This window comes from Homo sapiens, chromosome 9 (genome assembly GCF_000001405.40).
Source record: "Homo sapiens chromosome 9, GRCh38.p14 Primary Assembly".
Taxonomy (NCBI): Eukaryota; Metazoa; Chordata; class Mammalia; order Primates; family Hominidae; genus Homo; species Homo sapiens.
In genome coordinates, this window is record NC_000009.12 from 100,172,461 (window position 1) to 100,185,268 (window position 12,808).

Genomic DNA, 12,808 nt, shown 5'->3' on the forward strand with positions numbered 1-12,808 from the left:
GATGTTTAAAAATACTACTACTTCTCTAAAATCTTTTATTTTTCCAACTTTGGAATCTATTAATGAGATATAGCATTTAACTCAGCAAGAAAGGACAGAAGCTTGGTACTGGTCTCATCTACTTGGACAAGGAAAGCTCTAAGAGAAGCTGGTTACAGAGGTTCAGCAGGAGGGGACATTGAGCTGCACAAAGATTATAGTTTACCTGTAATCAAGGGCAGCTATTGTTAGCACAAGATTTAAAAACAAGTAGATAGAGAGTCAGATAATACTTGTGAGTCCACTACAGGTAGGCAGTGGTCAACTTGAAATTCTGTCCAAGAGTAGGAGGGTTCCAATCACCAGCAAGAATAGAGCTTAAGATTGAGTGGCTATTCGACCCAGTGAGTCAGATTATTAGTTCAATAGAGTGAATTGGCTGCATGGGGGAAAATATGAAAGCCCAGTGATAATCACTAGATTTGAAATCACTAGATACCAAGTCCCAGGTTATAATAGTTGGATGGATGGCTCAAGGTGTGTGCTTTCTTAGTGGTCAGTGCAGGGCTACCATTGTCTTAGAATAACTTAGTTAGAAGGATGAAGATGATTGAGATGGCCTAAGTACTTCTCACATCATCAAGATTGATACAGCAGTACTCAACCATCTAGAAAGCCTTTTAAAGTAGCAATGGCTTTTGAAAATGGTGTAGTAGCTCCTATTGGATCAGCCCTCCAGTAGATAACATTTATAAACTCTGAACAAAATATAAAAACAACTATCTGGAGGAATTGAAGAGTGACCAAGTAGGCAGAAATTGCATTGTAATCAGCCCTTGGAAGACCGTAAGAAGAGGATAGCACTGGGTGAGTTTCCACTTTTATAACAGGGCCTACTCAGTTCTTCAAAGAGGATGAAAACTGAGTAGAAATCTGCATTCTTACTTTTTGAAGAATCAAAGGACAGCATTTGGGGCAATGGCTGTAAGTCAGAAGAGATGTTTCAGGCTGGGTGCAGTGGCTCACACCTGTAATCCCAGCACTTTGGGAGGCCAAGGCAGGTGGATCACTTGAGGTAGGGAGTTCGAGACTAGCCTGGCCAACATGGTGAAACCCCGTCTCTACTAAAAATACAAAAAATTAGCTGGGCATGGTGGTGCATGCCTATAATCCCAGCTACTCAGGAGGCTGAGACAGGAGAATCGCTTGAACCCGGGAGGCAGAGGTTGCGGTGAGCCAAGATCATGTCCTTGCACTCCAGCCTGGGAGACAGAGTGAGACTTCATCTCAAAAAAGAAGAAAAATGAAAAACAGAAGAGATTTTCCAGAACAGAGAAATTCATATAAGGGAAGGCCTAACCTCTACATATAAACTGCCAAAATCTCTGACTAACCCCTAACCTAAACATAGATGGGGAAAAATTCAGGCAGCCAAGCTAAGGCTAAAATAACTCATCAGCGATTTAGCTGCTGCCTGCCTATGCAGGAAAAACATAATTTAGAGTTTGGGTTCAGCCAAGGTATCTGCCTGCTAAAACAAAAAATGAATAGTCTTCAGCATAACATAACAGAATCCAGAATCTTTACAACACATCATTTTCAGTGTCTAAGATATTCTCAAATATTGCTAGACATGAGGACAAACAGTAAACTGTGTTCCATACTCATGAGAAAAAGTAACAATGGAGAACAACTATCTTTGTTGTTCCAGATTTTAATGAGCAGACAAGGAATTTAAAGCAGGTCTTTTAACTCTGCTTAAGGATGCAAAGAAAAATATGTTCGTAATGAATAAACAGATAGGATGTCTTGCAGAAAAATAGAAACTCTATAAAAAGAACTAATGGAAATTCTAGAACTGAAAACTACAATATCTAAAGATTCACTAGAAGGGCTTATCAGCAGATTGGAGATGAAGAGTCAGTGAACTTAAAGATAGATCAATAGAAATTAACCAATCTTTAAAAAAAAAAAGAAGCGAATATACTAAGAAAAAAGTGAGTCTCAGTGATTTGTAGGACAATATTGAAAGACCAAACTGTTTGTAATTACAAAGATAGGAGAGAGAGAATGGGGCAGAAAAATAATTAAGAAAATGATGGCCAAAAATTGCCCAAACTTGGTGAAAGACATACATTTAAATATTCAAGAAACGTAATGAACTCCAATAAGATAAATACAAAGAAAATCTTGGCCAGGCATGGTAGCTCATGCCTGTAATCCTGCACTTTGGGAGGCTGAGGCAGGCAGACCACCTGAGGTCAGGAGTTGGAGATCAGCCTGGCTAACATGGTGAAACCCCATCTCTACTAAAAATACAAAATTAGCTGGGCATGGTGGTGCGTGCCTGTAATCCCAGCTACTCGGGAGGCTGAGGCAGGAGAATCACTTGAACCCAGGAGGAGGAGGTTGCAGTGAGCCAGAATCATGCCACTGCACTCCAGCCTGGGCGACAGAGTGAGATGCTGTCTCCGAAAAAAAGAAAATCTCACCTGAAAATACCATAATCAAATTGCTGAAAACCAAAGATGAAGAGAAACTCTTAAAAGCAGCCAAAGGGCTGAACTGAGCTGGTTGCCTTCTGTTACTGTGGGAGAACTCACTTCATCCCAACTTCTTCATACTTTCACTTCTGGAGCTCATATTCCTCTGACATCTTCCAGAAAAACAGTCTTAAAGCCTTAGCCTTTTTTACAGTCCAGCTCTTAAATTTTTTCCTCCCCTTTTTCAATAATAACATGAGTGTGCATCCAGCTTGTCCCCAAAACCTGCCTTGCTCTGAAGCATCCAACTGTAAAGACTCTTTGCCAATGTCTGTGATTTGTGGGCCCAAAACAAACTATCCATCCTTGCATATATCTTCTGCTGAGATGCCTCACACAGAGTCTGGACAGCTCTAATTCTTTCACGAGTCCCAAAGGCAGACAACTCACTTCTGCAGAGAAGAGCACCGCAAAAAAGGAAGACAAAGTCCTGGTCAAGAAACAGATGACCAGAACTGTGTTCTCTTCCACCCAGCTGTGTGTACTCAGTGATAGATTTCAGAGACAGAAATACCTCAGCCTCCAGCAGATGCAAGAACTTTACAGCATCCTGAATCTTAGCTACAAACAGGTTAAGACTTGGTTCCAGAACCAGAGAATAAAATATAAGAGGTGGCAGAAAAACAGCTGCCCAAAGAATAGCAATGGTGTGACTCCAAAGGCCTGAGCACCTACCTACCCCAGCCTCTATTCTTCCTGCCTCCAAGGATGCTTGGCGAACATGTCTGGGAACCTTTCAATGCAGAGCAACCAGACCTGTAGCAGTTCGGCCTGGGGCAACCAGACCTGGAACATCCAGTCCTAGAACAGCCATTCCTGAACACTCAGACCTGGTGCACCCAATCCTGGAACAATCAGGCCTGGAACAATCCCTTCTATAGCTGTGGAGAGGAATCTCTGCAAGTCCTGCATGCGGTTCCAGCAAATTCTTCTCTCAGTGACTTGGAGGCTGCCTTGGAAACTGCTGAAGAAAGCTACAATGGAATACAGCAGACCACTAGGTATTTTAGTACTCCACAAACCATAGATTTATTCCTAAACTATTCCAAGAACATGCAGCCTGAAGATATGTAAAGATGAGTGAAACTGATATTACTCAATTTCAGTCTGGGCACTGGCTGAATCCTTCCTCTCCCCTCCTGCCTCCCTCATAGGATTTTACTTGTTTGGAAGCTACATGTTCTGCCTTCATATCTTTGTTTCCTTTATGCCTATCAAGTCGATTTTGTGGAGGGTGGGGTATGATTGGAGCCAAATCAGAGAGTTTTCTTTTTTTCCTATGGGATCTTTCTGGAGAAAAAAGGTTTTAATAACCTTGGCTGCTAAGGACAACATGATAGAAGCTGTCTCTGGCTATAGATAAGTAGATATAATACTAGTTTGAATATCTTTAGGATTTAGAACCTAGCGTCAAGAATAGGAAGTAAAAGTACAAATTGATGTGGTGAAGGTATAGTCCCATTTTCTGGGATTGGGGGTCTTTGCTTATTTTTATTTTTATTTATTTATTTAGAGACGGAGTCTCGCACTGCTGCCTGGGCTAGAGTGCAGTGGTGCGATCTCAGCTCACTGCAGCCTCCACCTTCCGGGTTGATGTGATTCTCCTGCCTCAGCCTCCCAAGTAGCTAGGATTACAGGCACATACCACCACACCCAGCTATTTTGTTGTATTTTTAATAGACACTGGGTTTCACTATGTTGGCCAGACTGGTCTTGAACTCCTGACCTTGTGATCCGCCCGCCTCAGCCTCCCAAAGTGCTAGGATTACACCATGAGCCACCGTGCCTGGCCTTACTTACTGTTAAAAACCCAATTATTAAGGTGAAGGATTAAGCTGTAACATACTTCACTGATTTCATCAGCCCCTTTGGCTCTGTGTTTTACTATAGCCCCTAATTGGTTGGTTATGCTAATATTTATAGACAGCGGTCTTGTATTTGCTACATCACAATGACATCAGTACTAGTTTGCCTGGTTTAAGTACAAATGAATAAAACAACCATATCACCTTTAAAAAAAAAAAAAAGCAGCCAAAGAAAAAGACATGATGATGCCCTAACCAAGGGAAACCGTGAGGCACTGTGCCATGAGCAACGGTGCATTCCGGTCCAGATACTACGCTTTTCCCACAATCTTTGCAACCCACAGATCAGGAGATTCCCTTGGGTGCCTACACCACCAGGGCCCTGGGTTTCAAGCAAAAAACCGGGCGGCCATTTGGGCAGACACCAAGCTACCTGTGGGAGTTTTTCTTCATACCCCAGTGGTGCCTGGGAATGTCAGCGAGAGAGCACCATTCTCTCCCCTGGAAAGGGGGCTGAAGTCAGGGAGCCAAGTGGTCTAGCTCAGCAGATCCCACTCCCACGGAGCCCAGCAAGCTAAGATCCACTGACTCGAAATTCTTGCTGCCATCACAGCAGTCTGAAGTCGACCTGGGACACTCTAGCTTGGTGGGGGGAGGGGCGTCCCCCATTACTGAGGCTTCAGTAGGCAGTTTTCCCCTCACAGTGTAAACAAAGCCACCAGGAAGCTCAAACTGGGTGGAGCTCACCACAATTCAGCAAAGCTACTGCAGCCAGACTGCCTCTCTAGATTCCTCCTCTCTTGGCAGGGCATCTCTGAAAGAAAGGCAGAAGCCCCAGTCAGGGGCTTATAGATAAAACTCCCATCTGCCTGGGACAGAGCACCTGAGGGAAGGGGCAGCTGTGGATGCATCTTCAGCAGACTTAAATGTTCCTGCCTGCTGGCTCTGAAGAGAGCAGCAGATCTCCCAACACAGCGCTCGAGCTCTGCTAAGGGAAAGACTGCCTCTTCAAGTGGGTCCCTGATTCCGGTGCCTCCTGACTGGGAGACACCTCCCAGCAGGGGCCGACAGACACCTCATACAGGACAGCTCTGGCTTGCATCTGGCAGGTGCCCCTCTGGAACGAAGCTTCCAGAGGAAGGAACAGGCAGCAATCTTTGCTGTTCTGCAGTCTTTGCTGCAGATACCTAGGCAAACAGGGTCTGGAGTGGACTTTCATCAAACTCCAGCAAACCTGTAGAATAGGGGCCTGACTATTAGAAGGAAAACTAACAAAAATAAAAGAATAACATCAACATCAACAAAAAGGATGTGCACACTGAAACCCCATCCAAAGGTCACCAACATAGAAGACCAAAGGTAGATAAATCCATGAAGATGAGGAAAAACCAATGCAAAAAGCCTGAAAATTCCAAAAACCAGAACACCTCTTCTTCTGCAAAGGATCACAACTCCTCACCAGCAAGGGAACAAAACTGGACAGAGAATGAGTTTGATGAATTGACAGAAGTAGGCTTCAGAAGGTGGGCAATAATAAACTCCTCTGAGCTTTTTCTGTAAAGGAGCATGTTCTAACCCAATGCAAGAAAGCTAAGAACCTTGAAAAAAGGTTAGAGGAATTGCTAACTAGAATAACCAGTTTAGAGAAGAACATAAATAACCTGATGGAGCTAAAAAAACACAGCAGGAGAACTTTGTGAAGCACACGCAAGTATCAATAGCTGAATCAATCAAATCGAAGAAAGAATATCAGAGACTGAAGATCAACTTAATGAAATAAAGTGTGAAGACAAGATTAGAGAAAAAAAGAATGAAAAGGAATGCACAAAGACTCCAAGAAATATAGGACTATGTGAAAAGACCAAATCTATGTTTGATTGGTGTACCTGAAAGTGACGGGGAGAATGGAACCAAATTGGAAAACACTCTTCAGGATATTATCCGGGAGAACTTTCCCCACCTAGCAAGAGACCAACATTCAAATTCAGGAAATACTGAGAACACCACTAGGATACTCCTCAAGAAGAGGAACTCCAAGAAACATAATCGTCAGATTCACCAAGAGTGAAATGAAGGGAAAAATGTTAAGGGCAGCCAGAGAGAAAGGTCAGGTTACCCACAAGGGAAGCCCATCAGACTAACGGTGGATCTCTCTACAGAAACCCTACAAGCCAGAAGAGAGTGAGGGTCAATATTCAACATTCTTGAAGAAAAGAATTTTCAACACAGAATTTCATATCCAGCCAAACTAAGCTTCATAAGCGAAGGAGAAATAAAATCCTTTACAGAGAAGCAAATGCAGAGAGATTTTGTCACCACCAGGCCTGGCTTACAAGAGTTCCTGAAGGAGGCACTAACTATGGAAAGGAAAAACTGGTTGCAGCCACTGCAAAAACATACCAAATTGTAAAGACCATCGACACTGTGAAGAAACTGCATCAACGAATAGGCAAAATAACCAGGTAGCATCACAATGACAGGATCAAATTCACAGATAACGATATTAACCTTAAATGTAAATGGTCTAAATGCCCCAATTAAAAGACACAGACTGGCAAATTGGATAAAGAGTCAAGACCCATTGGTGTGCTGTAATTCAGGAGACCCATCTCACGTGCAAAGACACACACAGGCTGAAAATAAAGGGATAGAGGAATATTTACCAAGCAAATGGAAAGCAAAAAAAAAAAGCAGGGGTTGCAATCCTAGTCTCTGATAAAACAGACTTTAAACCAACAAAGATCAAAAAAGACAAACAAGGGCATTACATAATGGTAAAGGAATCAATGCAACAAGAAGAGCTAAATATCCTAAATATATATGCACCCAATACAGAACCACCCAGATTCATAAAGCAAGTTCTCAGAGACCTACAAAGAGACTTAGGCTCCCACACAATAATAATAGGAGACTTGAACACCCCACTGTCAATATTAGAAAGATCAATGCAACAGAAAATTAACAAGAATATTCAGGACTTGAACTCAGCTCTGGACCAAGGAGACCTAATAAACATCTACAGAACTCTCCACCCCATATCAACAGAATATACATTCTTCTCAGTACCACATTGCACTTATTCTAAAATTGACCACATAATTGGAAGTAAAACACTCCTCAGCAAATGCAAAAGAATGGAAATCGTAACAGTCTCTCAGACCACAGTGCAATCAAATTGGAACTCAGGATTAAGAAACTCACTCAGAACCACACAACTACATGGAAACTGAACAACCTGCTCCTGAATGACTACTGGGTAAATAATGAAATTAAGGTAGAAATAAATAAGTTCCTTGAAACCAATAAGAGCAAAGACACAACGTGCTAGAATCTCTGGGACACAGCTAAAGCAGTGTTTAGAGGGAAATTTATAGCACTAAATGCCCACAGGAGAAAGTGGGAAAGATCTAAAATCGACACCCTAACATCACAATTAAAAGAACTAGAGAAGCAAGAGCAAACAAATTCAGAAGACAAGAAATAACTAAGATCAGAGCAGAACTAAAGGAGATAGAGACACGAAAAACCCTTCAAAAAATCAAGAATCCAGGAGCTGGTTTTTTTTTAAAAGATTAACAACAGGTAGACCACCACCCAGACTAATAAAGAAGAAAAGAGAAAAGAATAAAATAGACACAATAAAAAATGATAAAGGGGATATAACCACTGATCCCACAGAAATACAGACTACCATCAGAGAATACCAGAAACACCTCTACGCAAATAAACTAGAAAATCTAGAAGAAATTGGTAAATTCCTGGACACATACACCCTCCTAAGACTAAACCAGGAAGAAGTCGAATCCCTGAATAGACCAATAACAAGTTCTGAAATTGAGGCAGTAATTAATAGCCTAGCAACCTCCAAAAACCCAGGACCAGACAGATTCACAGTTGAATTCTACCAGAGGTACAGAAAGGAGCTGGTACCATTCCTTCTGAAACCATTCCAATCAATAGAAAAAGAGGGACTCCTCCCTACCTCATTTTATGAGGCCAGCATCATCCTGACACCAAAACCTGGCAGAGACACAACAAAAAAAGAAAATTTCAGGCCAATATCCCTGATGAACATTGATGTGAAAATCCTCAATAAAATACTGGCTAACTGAATCCAGCAGCACATCAAAAAGCTTATCCACCATGATCAAGTCAGCTTCACCCCTGGGATGCAAGGCTGGTTCAACATACACAAATCAATAAACATAATCCATCACATAAACAGAACCAATGACAAAACCACATGATTATCTCAATAGATGCAGAAAAGGCCTTCAATAAAATTCAACACCCCTTCATGCTAAAAACTCTCAAAAAACTAGGTAATGATGGAATGTATCTCAAAATAATAAGACCTACTTATGACAAACCCACAGCCAATGTCATACTGAATGGGCAAAAACTGGAAGCATTCCCTTTGAAAACTGGCACATGACAAGGATGCCCTCTCTCACCACTCCTGTATTGGAAGTTCTGGCCAGGGCAATCAGGCAAAAGAAAGAAATAAAGGGTATTCAAATAGGAAGAGAGGAAGCCAAATTGTTTCTGTTTGCAGATGACATGATTGTATATTTAGAAAATCCCATCATCTCAACCCAAAATCTCCTTAAGCTGATAAGCAACTTCAGCAAAGTCTCGGGATACAAAATCAATGTGCAAAACTCCCAAGCATTCCTATACACCAATAATAGACAAACAGCTAAATCATGAGTGAACTCCTATTCACAATTGCTACAAAGAGAATAAAATACCTAGGAATACAACTATCAAGTGATGTGAAAGACCTCTTCAAGGAGAGCTATAAACCACTGCTCAAAGAAATAAGAGATGACACAAACAAATAGAAAAACATTCCATACTCATAGATAGGAAGAATCAATATGATGAAAATGGCCATACTGCCCAAAGCAATTTATAGATTCAGTGCTATCCCCATCAAGCTACCATTGACTTTCTTCACAGAATTAGAAAAAACTACTTTAAATTTCGTATGGAACCAAAAAAGAGCCCATATAGCCAAGACAATCCTAAGCAAAAAGAACAAAGCTGGAGACATCATGCTACCTGACTTCGAACTACACTACAAGCCTACAGTAACCAAAACAGCATGATTCTGGTACCAAAACAGAGATATAGACCAATGGAACAGAATAGAGGCCTCAGAAATAACCCAACACATCTACAACCATCTAATCTTTGACAAACCTGACAAAAACAAGCAATGGGGAAAGGATTCCCTATTTAATAAATGGTGTTGGGAAAATGGCTAGCCATATGCAGAAAACTGAAACTGGACCCCTTCCTTACACCTTATACAAAAATTAACTCAAGATGGATTAAAGACTTAAACGTAAGACCTAAAACCATAAAAACGCTAGAAGAAAACCTAGACAATACCATTCAGGACAGAGGCATGGGCAAAGATTTCATGACTAAAACACCAAAAGCAATGGCAACAAAAGCCAAAATTGACAAGTGGGATCTAATTAAACTAAAGAGCTTTGGCACAGCAAAAGACACTATCAGCAGAGTGAACAGGCAACCTATAAAATGGGAGGAAATGTTTGCAATCTATCCATCTGACAAAGGGCTAATATCCAGAATGTACAAGGAACTTAAACTTACAAGAAAAAAACAACCCCATCAAAAAGTGGGCGAAGTATATAAACAGACACGTCTCAAAAAACAGACACTGTCTTCAAAAGACGACATTATTGCGGCCAACAAACACATGAAAAAAAGCTCATCATCACTAGTCATTAGAGAAATGCAAATTAAAACCACAACGAGATACCACCATCTCATGCCAGTTAGAATGGCGATCATTAAAAAGTCAGGAAACAACAGGTGCTGGAGAGGATGTGGAGAAATAGGAATGCTTTTACACTATTGGTGGAGTGTAAATTAGTTCAACCTTTGTGAAGACAGTGTGGCGATTCCTCAAGGATCTAGAACCAGAAATACTATTTAACCCAGTAATCCCATTACTGGATATATGCCCAAAGGATTATAAATCATTCTACGATAAAGACACATGCACACATATGTTTATTGCAGCACTATTCACAATAAGACTTGGAACCAACCCAAATGCCCATCAGTGATAGACTGGATAAAGAAAATGTGGCACATATACACCATGGAATACTATGCAGCCATAAAAAGGATGAGTTCATGTCCTTTCCAGGGACATGGATTAAACTGGAAACCATCATTCTCAGCAAACTAACACAGGAACAGAAAACCAAACACCGCATGTTCTCACTCATAAATGGGAGTTGAACAATGAGAACACATGGATACAGGGAGGGGAACATCACATACTGGGGCCTGCCGGGGGATGAGGGGTAAGAGGAGGCATAGCATTAGGAGAAATACCTAATGTAGATGACAGGTTGATGGGTGCAACAAACCACCATGGCACGTGTATACCTATGTAACCAACCTGCACGTTCTGCACATGTATCTCAAAATTTAAAGTATAATTAAAAAAAGAAAAGACATGATCCAATATAGTAAAGCATGAATACAGGTGACAACATACTCTTCAGTATCAATAGGCACATGCAGACAGTAAAATAATCGCTTTAAAATGCTGAAAGGAAAAACTGTCAATCTAGAATTCTGTATCTGGTAAAACTATCTTTCCAGAATAAAACTGAAATAAGGACAAACAAAACTAAGATAATTTATCCCAAACAAACCTATATTAAAAGAAATAATGGTCGGGCACAGTGGCTTACGCCTGTAATCCCAGCACTTTGGGAGACTGAGGAGGGCAGATCACCTGAGCTCAGCATTTCAAGACTGCCCTGGGCAACATGGTGAAACCTCGTCTCTACTAAAATACAAAACATTAGCTGGGTGTGGTGATGCGCCTGTAGTCCCAGCTACTCGGGAGGCTGAGGCATGAGAATTGCTTGAGTCCAGGAGGCAGAGGTTGCAGTGAGCCGAGATCGCGCCACTGTACTCCAGCCTGGGCAACAGAGTGAAACTCTGTTTCAGGGAAAAAAAAAAAAAAAAAAAAAAGCACCAGAAAAGATAAATAGGTAGCTAAAGATAAACAATTATTTTTTCTTAATTTCTTTAAAATTAATATTGCTATTTAAAGCAAAAATTATAAAACTATTATGGAATTTATAGTAAATATAGGTATAATACATATATATGATATCTACAGCATAAAGTATGGGGTGGGGATAATGCAACTATACAATTGCAAGGGTCTTGCATTTTGTATAAAGTGATACAACATTAACTCTAAATAGACTTTGTAAAGTTATGGATATGAACTATAATACTTGGAGGAAATACTAAAATAATAATGCAATGAAGTATCGCTTTTTTTAATTCAAGAGAAAAAATTTTAAAGGAATTCTTAAAAATTGCTTGAGTTTCACTTCCCAAGATTCTAATTCAATTGGTCTGAGGTAGAAACCAGACAGTAATGCTTTTTAAAAGCTCCTCACCTGATTCTAATATGTTTAAAATGCCAGTGTTGGGAATGTTTCTAGCAGTGCTAAATCAAAGTTATTGGATGTAGTTGTATAAGAGAGAAGTATATGTTGCATGTAACAGAGAGTATATGTTGCTGGAAAACCATGCAGATCACCAGAGCACTGTTTTACCTCACTGAAAAGCATTAGTTCCTGTGAATCCATAGACCACTTGCTTCGTGTTGATGACAAAGTCCTCACCATTTTGTAAAAAAATGAAGAAAAGATCATTGTAGTATTTAACATATATAGGTTTGTGTAGTATTTAACATATAGGTTTGTGCATGTCTGTGCACCTATAGTCTGTATGTAATAAGTCTGTCTTCCTGTTACTACAGTTCTTGAAAATAGTTGGGTGGCCTTTTGCTACATTGGGAAGACATATTTAGAATAATATGACTTCGTATATAGGCTACATGGTATACAAAAAAATGCATGTGGGGGAAAGTAAGGGGAGCACTCAAAGAGATCTTTCAGAGCATCTCAAGCAGAGATTCAATAAGAGGCCTATTTAAGAGGTCATTGGAAGGGAGATGCCATAATTCTTAAAGACATTGCATGCAGGAAAAAACAGTGATTTTGAATATTTGCCACAAATGGAAAATGACAGGAGTAGATACTCAAGTTACAATTAATTTGTGATCCTTTGCTATAAAGCTATTTCTTACCTGGGCAATTCTGTGTAATGCATGCCATAGATTTATTGATTGTCAGTTATTAATGATTTTCCTCAGGCACGAAAGATGTAAATAGATGTTGGTGAAAAGCTACCAGCTGTCCTTTCAGGAAGGACAGTCCTTTATTTCCTTTTTGAGGGCTTACACTTTTTTATGAAATAATGTTGATAATAGATTTACTTTTTAAAATGAACTTAGATTGCAAAAATGTAAACTTTATACTGTCATCTTTATATTTGTTCCAATAATATTTTTTAATGATTATTATTATTGAGTTAAAATGTGCATACAAGAATGTACAGAAAAAT

General features: G+C 40.2%; 1 protein-coding gene and 1 pseudogene across 4 annotated transcripts in view; both read left to right on the forward strand.

The window, feature by feature from the left end:
* INVS (inversin) overlaps positions 1-12,808 on the forward strand; it is a 202,933-nt gene that overhangs the window by 73,218 nt on the left and 116,907 nt on the right. The gene's annotated exons all lie outside the window — the stretch shown is intronic.
* On the forward strand, positions 2,539-4,536 carry NANOGP5 (Nanog homeobox pseudogene 5; annotated as a pseudogene).